At 45.1% G+C, this 18,323-nt stretch overlaps 2 protein-coding genes across 4 annotated transcripts, besides 2 other annotated features; both read left to right on the forward strand.

Annotated features, from left to right (window-relative positions):
• Positions 1,495-2,068: an enhancer, noted in NCBI's record as "NANOG hESC enhancer chrX:30259792-30260365 (GRCh37/hg19 assembly coordinates)". NCBI's record gives its function as "activates a minimal SCP1, AML or CMV promoter by ChIP-STARR-seq in naive H9 embryonic stem cells {active_cell/tissue: H9 hESC(naive)}" and the evidence as "EXISTENCE:reporter gene assay evidence [ECO:0000049][PMID:30033119]".
• On the forward strand, positions 1,820-4,007 carry MAGEB4 (MAGE family member B4). Its single transcript, NM_002367.4, has one exon. The coding sequence runs from the start codon at positions 1,956-1,958 to the stop codon at positions 2,994-2,996; it is 1,041 nt and encodes a 346-aa protein (NP_002358.1). The 5' UTR covers positions 1,820-1,955; the 3' UTR covers positions 2,997-4,007.
• On the forward strand, positions 3,551-11,860 carry MAGEB1 (MAGE family member B1). Of its 3 annotated transcripts, NM_002363.5 has the most exons (4): positions 3,551-3,622; positions 6,109-6,213; positions 7,210-7,292; positions 10,254-11,860. In NM_002363.5, the coding sequence occupies exon 4, from the start codon at positions 10,314-10,316 to the stop codon at positions 11,355-11,357; it is 1,044 nt and encodes a 347-aa protein (NP_002354.2). In that variant the 5' UTR covers positions 3,551-3,622; positions 6,109-6,213; positions 7,210-7,292; positions 10,254-10,313; the 3' UTR covers positions 11,358-11,860. The 3 variants fall into 3 exon arrangements, with proteins under 3 accessions (NP_002354.2, NP_803134.1, NP_796379.1); NM_177415.3 differs by lacking the exon at positions 7,210-7,292; NM_177404.3 differs by lacking the exons at positions 3,551-3,622; positions 6,109-6,213; positions 7,210-7,292 and adding an exon at positions 6,966-7,076.
• Positions 16,267-16,442: a silencer, noted in NCBI's record as "fragment chrX:30274564-30274739 (GRCh37/hg19 assembly coordinates)". NCBI's record gives its function as "represses an EF-1alpha promoter that drives an FKBP-Casp9 reporter gene in an ReSE screen in K562 erythroleukemia cells {active_cell/tissue: K562}" and the evidence as "EXISTENCE:reporter gene assay evidence [ECO:0000049][PMID:32094911]".

The raw sequence follows: 18,323 nt of genomic DNA on the forward strand, positions 1-18,323 counted from the left end.
CCGAGTGAGAACTGAGGGGACTGCTCACCTCTGAATAGAGAGAGCAACAGAGTCCACCCCCCTGCATAACTCTTAAATTGCCAGGGCAACATGTAAGGCTGAGGACTCACCATCACTTTTTTTTTTTAATAATTGACCTTCTTTTTTAGAATAGTTTTACGTTCACAGCAAAACTGAGCAGAAAGGAGAGTCTCACAGGCATCCTGTCCTCCCACAGACACAGCCTCCTTCATATCAACCTCCCAAGCCAGGGTGATACATTTGTTACAATTGAGAATACATGGACACATCATTATCACCCAATGTCCGTAGTTTAGGATTCATTCCTGTTGCTGCACATTCTGTGGTTTTAATATTTAAAAATGTATAATGACATATGTTTACCACCATAGAATCATCCAGAATTGTTTTACTGCCTTAAAAGTTCTCTGTGCCTGATCTATTTATCTCTCACTCTCCCCAACCTTTGGAAACCACTGAACTTTGTACTGTTTCCATACTTTTGCCTTTTCCAGAATGTCATATAGATGGAATTATGCAATGTATAGACTTTTCAAATTGGCTTCTTTCACTTTGTAATATGTATCTAAGTTTCATCCATGTCTCTTTGTGGCTTGATAGTTCATTCCCTTTTAGTGCTGAATAATATTTTATTCTGTTAATTTATCCACTCTCCTTCTGAAGGACATATTGCTTGCTTCCCAGTTTGGGCAATTATGAATAAAGCTACTATAAACATTTGTGTGCAGGTTTTTTTTGTGGACATACCGTTTTCAACTCATCTGGCTAAATAACAAGGAGCGCACTTGCTAGATCATATGATGAAAGTATGCATAGCTTTGTAAGAAACTTACAAACTGTCTTCAAAAGTGGCTGTATCATTTTTCATGTCCATCAGCAATGACAGTGTGCTCCTGTTGCTCCACATCCTCATCAGTATTTGGGGTTATCAGGGTTTTTGATTTTGACCATTCTTATAGGTATGTAGTGGTATCACATTATTGTTTTAATTTGCAAGTCTCTAATGATATGTGATGTTGACCATCATTTCATGTACGTATTTGCCTTCCATATATATTATTTGTTGAGGTGCCTGTTTAGATCTTTTGTCCATTTTTAATAGGGTTGGTCAGTTCTTATTGTTCAGTTTTAAGACATTTTTGTATGTTTTGGTTAACAGTCCCTTATCAGATATGTCTTTTGAAAATAATTTTTTCCCAACCTGGGAGTTATCTTATTCTCTTTGTGGTATCTTTAGCAGAGCAGAAGTTTTAATTTAGCGAAGTCCAGATTATCAATTATTTTCTTTCATAGATGCCCATCACATTTTATACCAGAACTAGAAAAGATGAAATTCTTGGTCTGAAGTTGCAGTTATCAGTCAGCAGAAGAGACAGTCCACAACCCTGCTTGGAGTCCAGATGAGGATCCTGAGTGCAAACTTGGGACCTAAAGAGCCCAGGACAGAGAGAGCACTAAATGCTTCTAGGCAGGGGTGGTGGGTTGAGGGGCCCCTAGACTTCCCTCATCTGGGTCCCAGAAAACTAAAGAGTCAATTTCACAACACCAATAGAGGGAGGCTCAGGCCCTGCCAAGAGCTGACATGACAATTCTAAAGGTAATCAGAGTGGATCCTCTCCAAGCCAGAACACAGAAAGCCCCACTGCGAGCCTTGTTGTCACCCAGTCAGCCCCAGGCAGGGTTGGCAAGCTGCAGCCTAAGGCACATTGTAACTTCCTCAGCTGGCTTCTCAGGGGACAGAATGACTAAGAACAATAGCCCAGTGAATACTTAGAGCAGTGTTCTCAAGGAATCCTGCAGAGGCGGCTTCTGAAAAGCCAAGGTAGTATCTGCCTGCTGAAGGTGTTCTCAGGATTTCATTTGCTCTTCTCCAGGAACCACATCACCTGCCCTTCTGCCTACACTCCTGCCTGCTGTGCCTAACCACAGCCATCATGCCTCGGGGTCAGAAGAGTAAGCTCCGTGCCCGTGAGAAACGCCAGCGGACCCGTGGTCAGACCCAGGATCTCAAGGTTGGTCAGCCTACTGCAGCAGAGAAAGAAGAGTCTCCTTCCTCTTCCTCATCTGTTTTGAGGGATACTGCCTCCAGCTCCCTTGCTTTTGGCATTCCCCAGGAGCCTCAGAGAGAGCCACCCACCACCTCTGCTGCTGCAGCTATGTCATGCACTGGATCTGATAAAGGCGACGAGAGCCAAGATGAGGAAAATGCAAGTTCCTCCCAGGCCTCAACATCCACTGAGAGATCACTCAAAGATTCTCTAACCAGGAAGACGAAGATGTTAGTGCAGTTCCTGCTGTACAAGTATAAAATGAAAGAGCCCACTACAAAGGCAGAAATGCTGAAGATCATCAGCAAAAAGTACAAGGAGCACTTCCCTGAGATCTTCAGGAAAGTCTCTCAGCGCACGGAGCTGGTCTTTGGCCTTGCCTTGAAGGAGGTCAACCCCACCACTCACTCCTACATCCTCGTCAGCATGCTAGGCCCCAACGATGGAAACCAGAGCAGTGCCTGGACCCTTCCAAGGAATGGGCTTCTGATGCCTCTACTGAGTGTGATCTTCTTAAATGGCAACTGTGCCCGTGAAGAGGAAATCTGGGAATTCCTGAATATGCTGGGGATCTATGATGGAAAGAGGCACCTTATCTTTGGGGAACCCCGAAAGCTCATCACCCAAGATCTGGTACAGGAAAAATATCTGGAATACCAGCAGGTGCCCAACAGTGATCCCCCACGCTATCAATTCCTGTGGGGTCCAAGAGCTCATGCAGAAACCAGCAAGATGAAAGTCCTGGAGTTTTTGGCCAAGGTGAATGACACCACCCCCAATAACTTCCCACTGCTTTATGAAGAGGCTTTGAGAGATGAAGAAGAGAGAGCTGGAGCCCGGCCCAGAGTTGCAGCCAGGCGTGGCACTACAGCCATGACTAGTGCGTATTCCAGGGCCACATCCAGTAGCTCTTCCCAACCCATGTGAGATCTAAGGCAAATTGTTCACTTTGTGGTTGAAAGACCTGCTGCTTTCTCTGTTCCTGTGATGCATGAATAACTCATTGATTTATCTCTTTGTTGTATTTTCCATGATGTTTCTTAAAATAGAAAGTTTATTTAGATTCAGAATATAAATTTAGAAATGGCATGCATCACACATTTATTGCTGTTTATCAGGTTGGTTTAGTGATAATAATTTTGTTTTTGAAATACAAATAGAAAATCCTGAAATAATTTTTGTGATACAGAGCAAAATAACACGGCATGGGAGTAAGGTTATCCTTAGAAATTTAAAATAACTCCACAGTAAAATAGGTAGAATCTGAAGATAGAAAGGGAAGAAAAGTAAAAGTTGCTTTATTCGTGGTTTGTCTTACTCAGTTCAGTCTTTTTTTGCTCATAAATTTAAAAGTTACATACCTGGTTTGCTTAGATTATTCAAGAATGTGGAGGCCTGGGCCAAGGTCAATGACAGTGTCTCCATTGTCTTCCCTCCATTAAGAGAAGACTTTAAGAGATGAGGGAGAGAGAGCCAGAGACAGTGTTGCAACTGGGCCTGGCATGTTTCAGTGTGGTGTCCAGCAGTGTCTCCCACTCCTTGTGAAGTCTGAGGTATATTCTTTACTTTTGATTAAGAAAACACTTAACCTTCTAATTAATGGAGAGCCAAAGGGGAGTTGGTGGGAACACCATGTATAACATATTTGTATGTAAAATGATTTATCTTTTCTTTTTCCTGTTTTTCAGTGTTCTTTTTTTAAATTGTAGATTTATTTAGTTTCAGAATCTAAGTTTATGAATGGCATGAATCACTCATTTATTAAAATATATCAGGTTGGAGAGTGAGAATTTTTGCATTATGTAAAACAATTTAAAAATCTTTTAAGTCTTTTTCTGTGATCTAGAACAAGATAATATGGCATTGGAATATGGAATTTGTGAAAAGGAAATTACCTTGCAATAAAGTTGGTGGGACCAGGAAGTAGAGAAAAAAAAAGTAAAATGTGGTCAATTCTTGCTTTGTTTTATTCTTTTTAGTCTTTCTTTGTAAAACTGAAGTATATGTACCCGGATCTGCTTAGCTTTTTCAGGAATGTGGGGGAAATTAAATAGCAATACATTTGACTTCCTGGTCACTTACACTTCAATTGTCCAAATATTAATTGAGCAGCTGTACTTTGGAGGGCTCCTGGCTAGTACCGGATAAGCTAAGAAAACAAAAAACAAACAAACAACAAAAAAACCCCAATCCCTGCCCACAGAATTTTAGAATCCAACAGCAGCTATCATATAACGAAGGTAATGAGATACTCCTTAAGACCTAAAGACAGGTGAAAAGGGGATAAAAAAGAAGGTGGGGGTATTACCAGCAGTGGAATCTAGTGTAAATGTCCTAAGCAAGGTAACTGAGACTTCGGGAAACTGAACATACTGCAATAGGAGGTAATTTTATGTCCTGGCATAGTGCCTATATGGGGCGCACTGAGCAGGGGTCACACACTCAGATGGTGGATCTCACACTTGAGAGATGGAGACTGGAATGAAAAATTGCCTTTAACAGTTACTTTGGGATTGTGGAAAAACCAGAGGGGATCTTTGCCTGGAGCAGGGATTGAAAGTGGCCGGTGCTCTTGTCCCAGTGCAAGTGAAGTGAATCCAGTACACAAACTAGGTGTTTTATGAGCGTAGTCCCCAGGGTGTTTCTGAGAAATAAAGGTGATACTCCTTTAAGACTGGAAACTCATAAGCCACTGGGCTAATACTCTGCTATCAGCTGGGGAGCCAGAACCCATTCCATTAAAAGGAATTTTTTTTCCTTTCATGTGTTTTTGCAAATTCTAAGGGAGATCTAGATTTTTGATGGTGGTAAAATGAATGAAAATAAGACTGGTTTGGATGAAAGGTCAGAGTTGGTCCTTGAACCAAAGCCTAGAAGGTTTGAGTTGCTTTCAGCTGAGAAAGACAACTCCACACTCAAAATATGATTTAATATGGAAAAGTTATTTAGAGTTTCTTTGTAAGCTGCGTTTTGGGCTGATTTTATTGTTCCATGTCTTAGAATGCTGTATATTCTTTGTTATCTCTTGGACTTAAAGAAAATCAGCAGGGTGGATGATTTCTTCTGTAGTTGAAATAATCTTAGTAATAACAAGTATTGTTTAAAGTCTCAATGCACACCAGGGCTTTGCACACTTTCACCACATTCCACCAGTCCTACAAGACAAGGCTTATCAAGCTCATTTCACAGATGTAGAGCCTGAGGCTCATAGAGTTTATTAATGTGCCCAAGTTCACACAGCTAGTAAGTGATAGGGCTGGAACTAGACTGCTGGTCTGAATTCCTCTAGAGCCCACACTGTTCCACTCCTCCCAAACTGAAGCTTACTGTGAATTGCTTAATTCATTTTCTTCTACAACCCCAAAGTGTGTCTCAGGTAAGAAAGAAGAGGTCTCTGTACCCCAAACACTGGATTGGAATACATAACCAGAGCAAGAAGAATACCAAAATAATTGACAGATGTGAATTAAAGAGAAAAAGAAATAATACTCGGTGACAATATGATCACCGACAGAAGCAAAATTGGATAGCTTCAAAAGATCAAAAGATTACAAAAATCATCTGGCTCCACCCTTTTCTGTAGAAAGTAAAACTTTTAGAACTACCCTTTGGTTGGTGAAGTGAAGGAATAGATCAGCATGTTTTTTTCCCTGAGAGCACAACATCTGTCCTAGGCTCTCCACCTTCCGTTTCAGTTTCCCAACATCACATCACTTCTGGGACAGGGACCTCTTCTCTGCAAGGTTTGCAAAGAGGAAACTGGTCAAATTTTTGCAGGGATGTGACATTTCCCTGGAAGAGTTTGATCAAGAGACAGAAGCCAACATGAGAACCCTCATGAATGAATGGTGGGGAGAAAACCACTCCAAAATGTAAGGGTTCATCCAGACCCTCAGGAGAGTGACCTCAGTTCAGTAGATAGAGGAGTCCCAGGTTCTGATACATGTAAAGGCGAGGAGCATAAATGAAGACTGATGGAAGGACCCAGCCAAAACTGTGGGGTTCTATGGAGTCCTTTCCTTATTATCTGTTTTTGCAGGTTGCAAAAGGACTGTGATCATATGAAGATCATCCAGGAGTACAACTCGAAATTCTCAGAAAACAGGACCTTGATGTGAGAGGAGCAGGTTCAGGTAAACAAAGGGTAAGTTACAGGTTTGCTCACTTGTCAAGGTGAGGACCTGAATGTGGACTAAGGGTAGCTAGCACCCACATGGCCTCACAAAGTCCCCTCTGCTGTCAGCCCTAGGAAGCCTTGGCGGAGATGGCAGGCTGAATTCTGCCTGGAAAGTCTCAGGGAGATGACTGGTTCCGTCTAATTGGGGCAGCCTCAGTTTTACAGAGCGAAGAGGCCGAGACCCTAACAAGAATCAATGTAGGGCTTTTAAGTGTTAAGAGGGGACTCCACCAGCAGATGAGTCCCCACAGAATTCACCCCGTTTTGAGGCATCAGACAGAGCTATCTACCTAAGGTGCCTCTCATTTCCGCCTGGAAGGTCTCATGGAGGATGGGGAGCGTGGGGCCTGAAGGGAGTAGCTTCAGTTCTGCCTGGAGAGGAAACCAGAGTCACGGTGAGGACTCTGAGAGCTGATGAGAAGGCCTCTGCCCAAAACGGGACTTTCACAGAGCCCTGCCGCTGCTGTCAGGCCTGTGAGGCCCAGGCAGGGGTGGCCTGTGTGGCACGCTCAGATTTCCACCTTGGGGGCTGAGAGAGGTGGGGCTATTGTTTGAGGCTGGCGGATTTGGGTCAGCAGGCGGAGTCGTCCCAGACTGCTAGATACTAAGGTGAGGACCCCTAGTGGGGACGTAGGGACCAGCGACGCTAGAACAGTTACGTCCAGAAGCGTACCACCCCTGCCGTCAGCCCGGAGGCCACGGGCTGCCGGATGTGGCTCATCCTGACTTCCGCTTTGAAGGCGAGGACCCCAGCGAGCGTAAGGGCGCAGTGTCCGCCTGGCGGATTTGGGTCAGCAGGCGGAAGTCGTCCCAGGCTGCTAGATACTAAGGTGAGGAACCCTAGTGGGGACGTAGGGACCAGCGACACTAGAACAGTGACGTCCCGTAGCGTCCTGCCTCTGCCGTCAGCCCTCAGAGGCCCTGGGCTGCCGGATGTGGCTCATCCTCATTTCCCTTTTGAAGGCGAGGACCCGAGCGAGCTTAAGGAGTGGGGTGCAGCGTCTGGTCAGCGGAGGGTGAATTCTCAGGACTGGTCGGGAGTCAAGGTGAGGACCCTGAGTGTAAATTGAAGAGACCACCCCCACCCGTAACAAAGAGGTCCCCTCTAAGTCCCGCTTCTGCATTTGGTCCTGGGAGGCCTCAGGTAACCAGATGGGTAGCACCCTGACTGTCTCTTCAGCGACTCAGGGAGACGAAGGCTTTGGCCTAAGCCTTATAGACTCAGGTCAATAGAGGGAGGAGTCCTAAACCCTACTACCCGTAATCCCAGAACTCTGGGAGGCCGAGGCAGGCGGATCACGAGGTCAGGATATCAAGACCATCCTGGCTAACACGGTGAAACCCCGTCTCTACTAAAAATAGAAAAAATTAGCCAGGCGTGGTGGTGGGCTGCTGTAGTCCCAGCTACTCAGGAGGCTGAGGCAGGAGAATGGCGTGAACCCGGGAAGCGGAGCTTACAGTGAGCCGAGATTGCACCACTGCACTCCAGCCTGGGTGACAGAGCGAGACTCAGTCTCAAGAAAAAAAAAAAAAAAAAAAAAAAGTCCCGCTCCTGCTGTCGGCACACGCAGGCCCCAGTCAGCCTTGGTGGGATGTGGCCCACTATGACTGTGAACTTAGGTCCAAGGAATATGAGAACTTTTGTCTACGGGGCATGGTGTTAGGAGCAGTTGATGGGTGGAGTCCCAGAAAGAGTGCTGAGTGGAGGTGGAGACACTGAGTGAGGAAATGGCGGCTACTCTATACACGAGGGAGACAATTGCGCCTGATGCTGTCCCTGGGAGTCCCAGGCCAGAGCTGGCAGGCTCAAGTACTCCCTGGCTTCTGCCTTCATAGTCTTAGAGAGAGGAGGGCCTTGGTTTAAGGCCTCACTGCCCCAGTTCAGTAGAGAGATAGGAGTCATACGCCAAGACAGGTGTCAAGGTACAATTTCTTTATGAGGAATGAGGTAACCGTCTAGTCCAGAACAGGCAGGAACACAGTCTTACCTTGGCGTTCATTCCTTAGAAGCCAGGGTTAGAACTCTCAAGTTGAGATGCCCCTCATTTCCTTCAGGTACTGTTTCAGGTACATAATGGCTTTGGTTTAACATGAAAGCCCTTGTTTAGTACAGGGAGGAGGCCCAGTTCCTAAAAGATGGTGACACTGAGGGAGTATGAGGGGACCCCCTCCAAGAAAGAGGTAACACAGATAGAGCCCTATCCCCACTGAGACCTGGGAGATCCAGGTATGGTGACATGATGAGTCTCACTCACTTCTTCCTAGAGCATCTCAGGGAAGTGGGGAACTTCATCAAAGGGGGCAGCCTTATGTTAGCAGCTAGAGGATTCCTAGGTAATTCCAGGAGTCAAAAAGAAGACCCTGAGAACTGGGGGAACCACTCATCCCATAACAGTGAAAGAAACACGGAATTCCTTCCTGATTTTCATCCTTGGGAGATGATGGACAATTGTAGCCAGATGGGAAAAGTTTCACTTCTTCCTCAGGGAGTTGTCGGGGGGTGCTTTGTATGACTGGATAGGCGTTAGATCAAGACAGAGAAGTCACTGAGGGAGGAATGAGATGAGCATTTACCTAGAGAGTGGGGCTTCACCAAGTTCTACCCCCTCTCAGCTCTGGGAAACCCCAGGCAGAAGTACCCAGATGTGTCATCCCCTCAAGACTAGCCCTGGGTACTCAGAGAGGTGAAGGCTTTTGTATGAGCCTGGAAGAATCAAGTGGGATTAGAGAGGAGCTCAGACTCTGCTTGAGTGAAGACTAAAGAGAACAACGACCCCAGAACAGTGGAGCCCCATAGAGGACGTGGTGACTGGATGTGATTCAGGCTTTCTTTCATCTTGGGACTATGAGGCAATGAGAATCTTAATCTGATGTAAGGGGCCTCAGGTCAGTAGAGAGAGGATTTCCAGGTTGTGCCAGGCCTCATAGAGAGGACTTGAGGGAACTCCCACCTCATCAGTGGGGATCCCTCAGAGTCCCTCTGTATGTCAGCGCTAGGAAGCCCCGAGCATAAATGTCAGAAATGCCCCTAAATTCCTCTTCAGAAGTAACAGGGAAATGAAGGTCTTAGTCAGATGGGTTAGCAGGAGGGGTGGGAGGCATTTTAGGCCCTCCCAGGAGTCAAACTGGAGACCTTGAGTGAGGACCATGAGTGGGGCTACACATCACAGGGCTTCAACCTGCCAGCCACAGCTTTCAGCCTCTGGAGAATATGGGCATTGTGACCAGATACAGCCACCCTCATTTCCTCCATTGGGTCTCAGGCAGATGTAGGCCTTACTATGAGTAAATGTCCTCAGGTGTAGAGAGAACAGAGCCCTAGGCCCTTCTGGGAGTCGAAGTGTGAGTGTGGACTGAAGGCACCATTCCCCCAAGCCCCCAACCCCCACCCCAAATAGAGGAAAAACAACGATGCTAGCCCTGTCTCTGCACTTAGCTCTGAAAGGCCTTGGCCAAGGGTTGCCAGGCTGAGACTTTATTTCTTTGCATCAGGTCTAAGGGAGGTGACAGCTTTGGTCTGAAGATGCAGCACCAGTTAGCAGAAGACAGGTTCCCAGAACTTAGATATAGATGAGATGAGGACTCTGAATTAAGATTGAGGTCCAACTAGCCCAGGACAGAGAGAGTTCCATAGAACTGTCAGCACTGCCATCCCGCCCAGCCCCCGGTAAGGATGGTAGGTTGAAGCAGTGCCTCATTTTTCTTTGGTGGATTCCAGGGAGCTTTGAAGTGTCAGCTTCAGAGCAGCACAGGAAGGAGGTCCCAGACCCTTCCAAGAGTAGATATGAAGATCCTGTATATGAATTGAGAGGGCCCTTGAACACAGAGGGAGTCTACACTGCCAACCTCTGCTGTCACCCAGTCAGCCCCAGGCAGGGTTGGCAACAAGAACCCAGTGGGTTCCTAGAGCAATGCCCTCAAGAAAACCAGCAGAAGTGGCTCTCTAAAAGCCAAGGTGGTACCTCCCTGCTGCAAGTACTCACAGGATCTCATTCTCTCTCCTTCAGGTGCCACATCTCCTGCCTTTCTGCTCACTTTCCTGCCTGTTTTGCCTGACCACAGCCATCATGCCTCGGGGTCAGAAGAGTAAGCTCCGTGCTCGTGAGAAACGCCGCAAGGCGCGAGAGGAGACCCAGGGTCTCAAGGTTGCTCACGCCACTGCAGCAGAGAAAGAGGAGTGCCCCTCCTCCTCTCCTGTTTTAGGGGATACTCCCACAAGCTCCCCTGCTGCTGGCATTCCCCAGAAGCCTCAGGGAGCTCCACCCACCACCACTGCTGCTGCAGCTGTGTCATGTACCGAATCTGACGAAGGTGCCAAATGCCAAGGTGAGGAAAATGCAAGTTTCTCCCAGGCCACAACATCCACTGAGAGCTCAGTCAAAGATCCTGTAGCCTGGGAGGCAGGAATGCTGATGCACTTCATTCTACGTAAGTATAAAATGAGAGAGCCCATTATGAAGGCAGATATGCTGAAGGTTGTTGATGAAAAGTACAAGGATCACTTCACTGAGATCCTCAATGGAGCCTCTCGCCGCTTGGAGCTCGTCTTTGGCCTTGATTTGAAGGAAGACAACCCTAGTGGCCACACCTACACCCTCGTCAGTAAGCTAAACCTCACCAATGATGGAAACCTGAGCAATGATTGGGACTTTCCCAGGAATGGGCTTCTGATGCCTCTCCTGGGTGTGATCTTCTTAAAGGGCAACTCTGCCACCGAGGAAGAGATCTGGAAATTCATGAATGTGTTGGGAGCCTATGATGGAGAGGAGCACTTAATCTATGGGGAACCCCGTAAGTTCATCACCCAAGATCTGGTGCAGGAAAAATATCTGAAGTACGAGCAGGTGCCCAACAGTGATCCCCCACGCTATCAATTCCTATGGGGTCCGAGAGCCTATGCTGAAACCACCAAGATGAAAGTCCTCGAGTTTTTGGCCAAGATGAATGGTGCCACTCCCCGTGACTTCCCATCCCATTATGAAGAGGCTTTGAGAGATGAGGAAGAGAGAGCCCAAGTCCGATCCAGTGTTAGAGCCAGGCGTCGCACTACTGCCACGACTTTTAGAGCGCGTTCTAGAGCCCCATTCAGCAGGTCCTCCCACCCCATGTGAGAACTCAGGCAGATTGTTCACTTTGTTTTTGTGGCAAGATGCCAACCTTTTGAAGTAGTGAGCAGCCAAGATATGGCTAGAGAGATCATCATATATATCTCCTTTGTGTTCCTGTTAAACATTAGTATCTTTCAAGTGTTTTTCTTTTAATAGAATGTTTATTTAGAGTTGGGATCTATGTCTATGAGCGACATGGATCACACATTTATTGGTGCTGCCAGCTTTAAGCATATGAGTTTTGATATTCTATATTTTTCAAATCCTTGAATCTTTTTTGGGTTGAAGAAGAAGAAAGCATAGCTTTAGAATAGAGATTTTCTCAGAAATGTGTGAAAGAACCTCACACAACATAATTGGAGTCTTAAAATAGAGGAAGAGTAAGCAAAGCATGTCAAGTTTTTGTTTTCTGCATTCAGTTTTGTTTTTGTAAAATCCAAAGATACATACCTGGTTGTTTTTAGCCTTTTCAAGAATGCAGATAAAATAAATAGTAATAAATTATATTACTTGTTCAGTGGCTCATTTATTCTCACCATAAATTGAGCATCTGCTCTTTGTAAGGCTCTGTGATAGTAGTGATTGTACTAAGTTAAAGAAGACCCTTCGCCTGCACACAGATTTTTAGTCTAAGGACAGTTATTATTTAAAGAAGATGGTGAGATACACTCTAACATGTACAGATTTTTTTTTTTTTACATATAAACACTCATTTAAAAAAAAAAGAAGTGAGAATGGTGGGAGAAGGTTCAGACAAGAGCAGTCAAGTGTTAATTTCCTAGCCAAGGCACTTCGTGGTGTGGGACAATGCAAGTCCCTCGTTGGGAGGTCATTTTAAGTTAGCTCCATGGTGAACTGGATGAGGTTGTGATAATCATAAGAAGGTGCCAAACCCTCAGATCATGAGCCTTAGAGTTGAGAGATTAAGCCTGGAAAGGGAAACTGCCCTTAACAGTTACTTTGGGATTGTGGGTAAAGCAGAGAGAACCTGTGTCTGGAGGAGGAGTGGAAGAATACAGTGCTCTCGTCCCAGGGCAGTCAAACACAGTGCACAAACTAGTTGTTTTATGCACATTGTCTCCAGAAAGTGTTTGAGAAATAAGGGTTATACTTCCTTGAGGTGAGATGCCAAGAAGCCACTAAGCTAACACTGTTTTCCCTAAGCTTGTGCAGCCAGAGCCTACTCCATTAATTAGGTCTTCTCATATATAATTTCGCAAAACTCCAAGGTAGGGCTAGATTCATTGGTGACGAAATAAGTGAAAATAAGAATGTTTTTGTAGGAAGGGAATCTCAGAGGGAGGGGAGTCGTTGGTCCTTGACATAAACTCTATAAGCTTAGAGTTGAATTCTGATGAAGTCCCTGCTCCCATATTAAATAACATATTCTCTCATGGGGAGAATTTACATAGCGTTACTTGCTTTGCAGCATTTTGGCTTATTTGGTGGTGGTTTTTTAGAGCACTGAATGTTCTCTGACAATTCCTGGACAAAACAAAAATTTTCCAGAGATGAGAATAGCCTTTCTTGTGTGAATATAATAGTAGTAACTGCCATTCATTAAAGACCCAATATTTGCCAGTCATTTTGCCAGATGCCTTACATACATTACATGTGTTCCAACAATTCTACAAGATGGGGCTTATCAAATTAGGAGATGAAAAACTTGTAACATTCTCAAGTTCACATGGCTGGTAAGTGCCAGGGCTGGGACAAAACCCCTGGTCTGAATGTTTCTAGGGCCCACACTGTCCTGCTTCTCTCAATCTGAGGCCAAACTGTCTCTTAATTCTCACTGTTCCACAATATCTCTCAAGTGATAACAAGTGCCCTGTGGCCAAAGTACTAAAAGCAGGCCTCTTAGTGAAAGGAAAGTTAAAATGAGAAACAAAGTTTTGGACTGTCTGTGGGGTTCATTGGCCTGGGGTTTTCCCGCCTTAGCCCACAGGTTCCTCTAGAGCTGACTCTGCTCTGGTCCCAGCACATAAGTCTAGTCCAGTGCTTTCCAACATTACAGTGCCCTTCCCTGGGGTCTTCCCCAGTGTGCCCCCCTGTCCACACTGGAACTGACCTACTGGTCAACTTCACTGCATCTTTCTCTGGAGCCTGCACCTGCTCCCAGAGGAAAAGACAGCCCAGACTCACCTGCGTTTTCCCTGACACAGAGGGTTCCAACTGCTTGGAGGTCCCACCCCTCACCACAGATGCCCTTTGATAGCAACAGCCCCTTTCGTGTAATTGTTCACTTCAAACAGTGAAACTTAGACACCTCTTCATGTCTCTGGGTACTGCCACCACACTGTTAAAGTGTTTTCAAATCTACTGGTGAGGAGTGATTTAGCGCAGAATCTACTGTTTCTTGGTTTATAACCCTGAGGCTAGAAAAGAGGCTTTTTAAAACCACCCTGATATTTGCAGTAGGATTTTAATAGAGTATTTTATTTGAGACAGGCCACTGAACACATACACCAATGAGTGAATTTACCTATGTGGTCAACATCCAAAGCCTCCCTCTTAAGTGGTAGATAAGGAAAGACAGAGGAAATCACTGTGTAAGCAAACATCTACTGTGGCTGAATCCCTAAAAATCTTTCTTTAAGTCCTCAGAGGCAGAAAATGGTCCCTTGGCAGACATGCCAACTTTGAATAAAAAGAAAAAAATAACTTACTATCCTTCAATTTACTCTTATCTATATCTGCCCCAGAGGAAAATATTGGTTTTTCAGTGTGCTTCATTGTACCTGTTCAGGTGTTTGGGAATGTTAAGTAGGTGGTGGGTAGCTGTGATTTGACCAGGCACCAAAGGTAGGAGAAAATTCTCAGCCTGTTAAGATTACGCAGGTTATTATAAAGAGTCGTGCAGAAAGGTGCTATTGATTGACAAAGGACAAATCCTCCTTGTAGAAATTTCCAGGATCATTTTGAAAATTAGACATGACCTTGTGTTTGAAAACATCTGTCACATAGTAGACACTAGAAAAATGTTGCAAATTTCAAGGCAAATTTGGCCTTCTTACAAACTCCTCTAAGAAATGAAGAGGGTTATTGTCCTAACCAATTATAAGAGTTGCTCTTCATTGAACATCTACTGTGTACTAGTTTATGGGAGAGATGGCAAGTGTTTATCCACATGATGTCCTGCTCTTTTTCCCGGGCTCATGGAGAGACTACCTTCCCAGTCTACTCATAGTTAAAAAGGGTCATGTGATTAACCCTTGCCACTGAAATATGAGTAAAAGCATGTTTGTCACCTCTAGGCCAAGGCACTGAGATCCAGTCGGCCACCTCCATGCTTTCTCTTCCATTCAACAGCAAACATGGAGAACCCACATTGAGGTGTGGAGCCACATGATGGAAACAACCTGGTTCCCTAGGTCACTGCCAACCCACTTCAGGTTTTATGTGCACGAAAAAAGAAACATTTATCATGTTAACCCATTCATATTTCAAGGTTTTTGTTGTTGTTGTTGTTGGATCAGTTAGCATTTACTTTATTTGAGTAATATACACAACTACTATTTCTATTGTCTGTCAGGCCTATTAAAAATATTTTAATCACAAAGCTAGTGGTAGTATGCATATTCTTGTTGGAAAAAAATTTAATACCAATAAATCACAATCTCCTCCCTCACAACATTCCTCTAAAATTCAGCCCCCTTTTCAAAAGTAACCACGATTAATAATTTGTTGTGTCATTTTAAAGCTGACTCAAAGCTTTTTAATACATAGATGTGCTATGAAAATATATTGAGATGTGCTATGAAAATATATATCAGAGTCCATTAGAGAGACCACATGCTAAACTAAGCCCACAGAACCCAAAGCAGCTGGCAGTCAGGGGTTTGGATCTAGAGTACAGCATAAGGTAGACTATCAGGCGAACCAGCCCCCAATATTTCAACGTAGGTTCTTTTCTATTTTCCCTAAGGGTCGGCTGGTCTGAGAAATAAAGGGAAAGAGTGCAAAAGAGATAAATTTTAAAGCTGGGTGTCCGGGGGAGACATCACATGTTGGCAGGTTCCGTGATGCCCCCTGAGCCGTAAAACCAGCAAGTTTTTATTAGCAATTTTCAAAGGGGAGCGAGTGTGCAAATAGGATGTGGGTCACAGAGATCACATGCTTCAAGGGCAACAAAAGATCACAAGGCAGAAGGTCAGGGCAAGATCACAAGGTCAGGGTGAAACTCGAATTACTAATGAAGTTCCATGTCCTGCTGTGCATGCATTGTCATTGATAAACATCTTAACAGGGTTCAAGAGCAGAGAACCGGTCTGACTAGAATTCACCAGGCTGGAATTTCCTAATCCTAGCAAGCCTGGGGGCACTGCAGGAGGCCAGGGCATGTTTCATCCCTTATCTGCAACTGCATAAGGCAGACACCCCCAGAGCAGCCATTTTAGAGGCCCCCCATGGGAATGCATTCTTTTCCCAGGGCTGTTAATTATTAATATTCCTTACTCGGGAAAGAATTCAGCAATATTTCTCACCTGTTTTCGGTAATAAGAGAAATATGGCTCTGTCCTGCCTGGCTCCCAGGCAGTCAGACCTAACGGTTATCTCCCTTGTTCCCTGAACATCGCTGTTATCCTGTTCTTTTTTCAAGGTGCCCAGATTTCATATTGTTCAAACACACATGCTTTACGAACAATTTGTGCAGTTAACGCAATCATCACAGGGTCCTGAGGTGACATACATCCTCAGTTTATGAAGATGATGGGATTAAGAGATCAAAGTAAAGACAGGCATAGGAAATTATAAGAGTATTGATTGGGGAAGTAATAAATGTCCATGAAATCTTCACAATTTATGTTCTTCTGTCACGGCTTCAGCAGGTCCCTCCATTCAGGGTCCCTGACTTCCCGCAACAGTAGAGAAGGAACCAGAAGGAGAGAGGGCAGAGAGTCTGATGGAGGGCCTGAACAACTTCCATGAATTGATTTGGGAAATCTCTGAATAATCGTTACCAGCCTGAAATTGTAGGGTGATCTGAGTGGGCAGATCTATTGAATGAAAGGATCAGAGGCTGCCTGGTTTCCTGGGTCACCTGAAGGCAGAGAGCCTCTGCCAACCCATATCAGGTTTTATTTGCATGGACACCCCATGCTCCCTTAGAATTCCCCCCTACTTATTATCTAGCTCCCCTTTGTCACTCAGCAATTCTAGTGATGGATTTTGAGAGAGTTATATGTCTTGACTACCCTGAGGGTCCGATACGCCCTTGCCAGAGTGCCAGAGCTGACAGCTATCTTCATGCCTATTTGAGGCAGGTATTTCTTCCCCTGTGGACAGTGGATCCTCTCCACTGAGGCTAGGGCTATGTGAATAGGTAGGGTTAGTGGAATATGACAGACATTCACTAGTGATGTGACAGCAGTTGAGGTAGGCTCAGTGTATCAATGTAACAGTGAAAGGGGGTATGCAACTGCAAGGAAGGGGAAATTGGAGAGCAGATTGACTGATGCTAAGTACTGCAAGTTATACTGCAGACAAAAGGCTGGGTGTAGACATGTCTCCTAAAACAATCCAGATGATGCCCTCAACTCTGACTGCTTCCCATAGTCTCAGAGTTCTTGGCACACCAGAGGGTAGGTGCCTGCTGGCTGTATTTGCTGGCCTATGTTGCCACCAGATACTGTAGAGTAGAGCATCGGCCCAAGGTGTAGACATTTGCAGAGTGAATGGTGAGCTGATGGAGATGGCACACTACCTTTTTAAAATGATGGTGGCTGATAGAGATGTGTGAAATCCAATGCAGAAAGCATCACATACCATCCTGTTGCCAGGATATCCACCTCCAAGGTGAGAATGTGAAAGCTTGGGAGGGAGACGTTCATAATCACACTGTCAGTAATAGATTCCATGGAGGCAGAAGACCCTACCACGGGGTAGGCTCCACATTTTGGTACTGTGATTTATTCAGTTTTGGTGCTTTGATTCATTAATTTATTCATTAAACATTTATTGAACATATACTGAGGGAAACCGTACATAAACAAAAGAAAAGGAAATGGCAAGGCACTTGATTCAGGCTGTGGGTGTGAGGATGGAGAGTAGGAGTCACGTTTGAGTTTTGGAAAGTTAGGGACTATGTGAAAGGGCGAGGGACAGCCTATAATGACTGAATCCTGAAGGTTGGATAACTAGGTAGAAGTTTCTCTTAGCTGAGATTGAGGATAAAGGAGAAGGAAGAGTTGGTGGTGATTTGTGTTAGGAGTAGAAATGAGTAAGGGTGTGGCAGGTGAGGTCAGTGTGGGCTCTATGGATGGTAATGTTCTGATGGTTATCCAAGTGATGTTCAATGTAAAGTAGAAAATGTGAATTTGGGTATCAGGAGAGAAGCAAGATCAGATTTGGCTGTCAGAAGAGGTCATGTGAGGCCATAGGTTGAGGTAAAATCAAGTGTTTTGCATATAGTGGCCTAAATTCTATAAAATTTCTTCCACTGCAAATGCACTCTGCTTCAGCACAGGCACCTATCTGTGTGGATTTCATTCTGTCCAATACACTGTATCCCAATTTTGCTGCTTAGCTCTCCAGCACTGCAAAAATGTGGCCACCTACCTCTGCATGCCCAGCCTACCTTGCCATCCCTTCTCTTGTTTTCAAACCCCTTATTGCCCACCCCACTCCCACCTGGACACATACAGGCATATTCTGTCCTCCTATCCACTCATCTCTTTTCTATTTTCAGCACAGGACTGGCTGCTTTCTCTTCAACCCACCGTCCTCATTAGTAACTTGCACAGGCCTTGCCTTCGTGCTGACCCCAATCCCTGTCTCCACTCCCTTTCTAGCCCTGTTTCAAACTCTCCTATGGGAAAGAGACCTCTGCTACTCCCTTTACCTAGTATCCTTTTAACATTTAAGAGGACAGTGGGATTTCTTGTCACCCATGTCTCTTTTTTTTGAAAGTCTTCTCAGTTCGCATCCATGTGTGCAATCCCTCAGCAAGTGCAGGGAGCTTGGCCA

Source organism: Homo sapiens, chromosome X, assembly GCF_000001405.40.
Source record: "Homo sapiens chromosome X, GRCh38.p14 Primary Assembly".
NCBI classification, from domain to species: domain Eukaryota; kingdom Metazoa; phylum Chordata; class Mammalia; order Primates; family Hominidae; genus Homo; species Homo sapiens.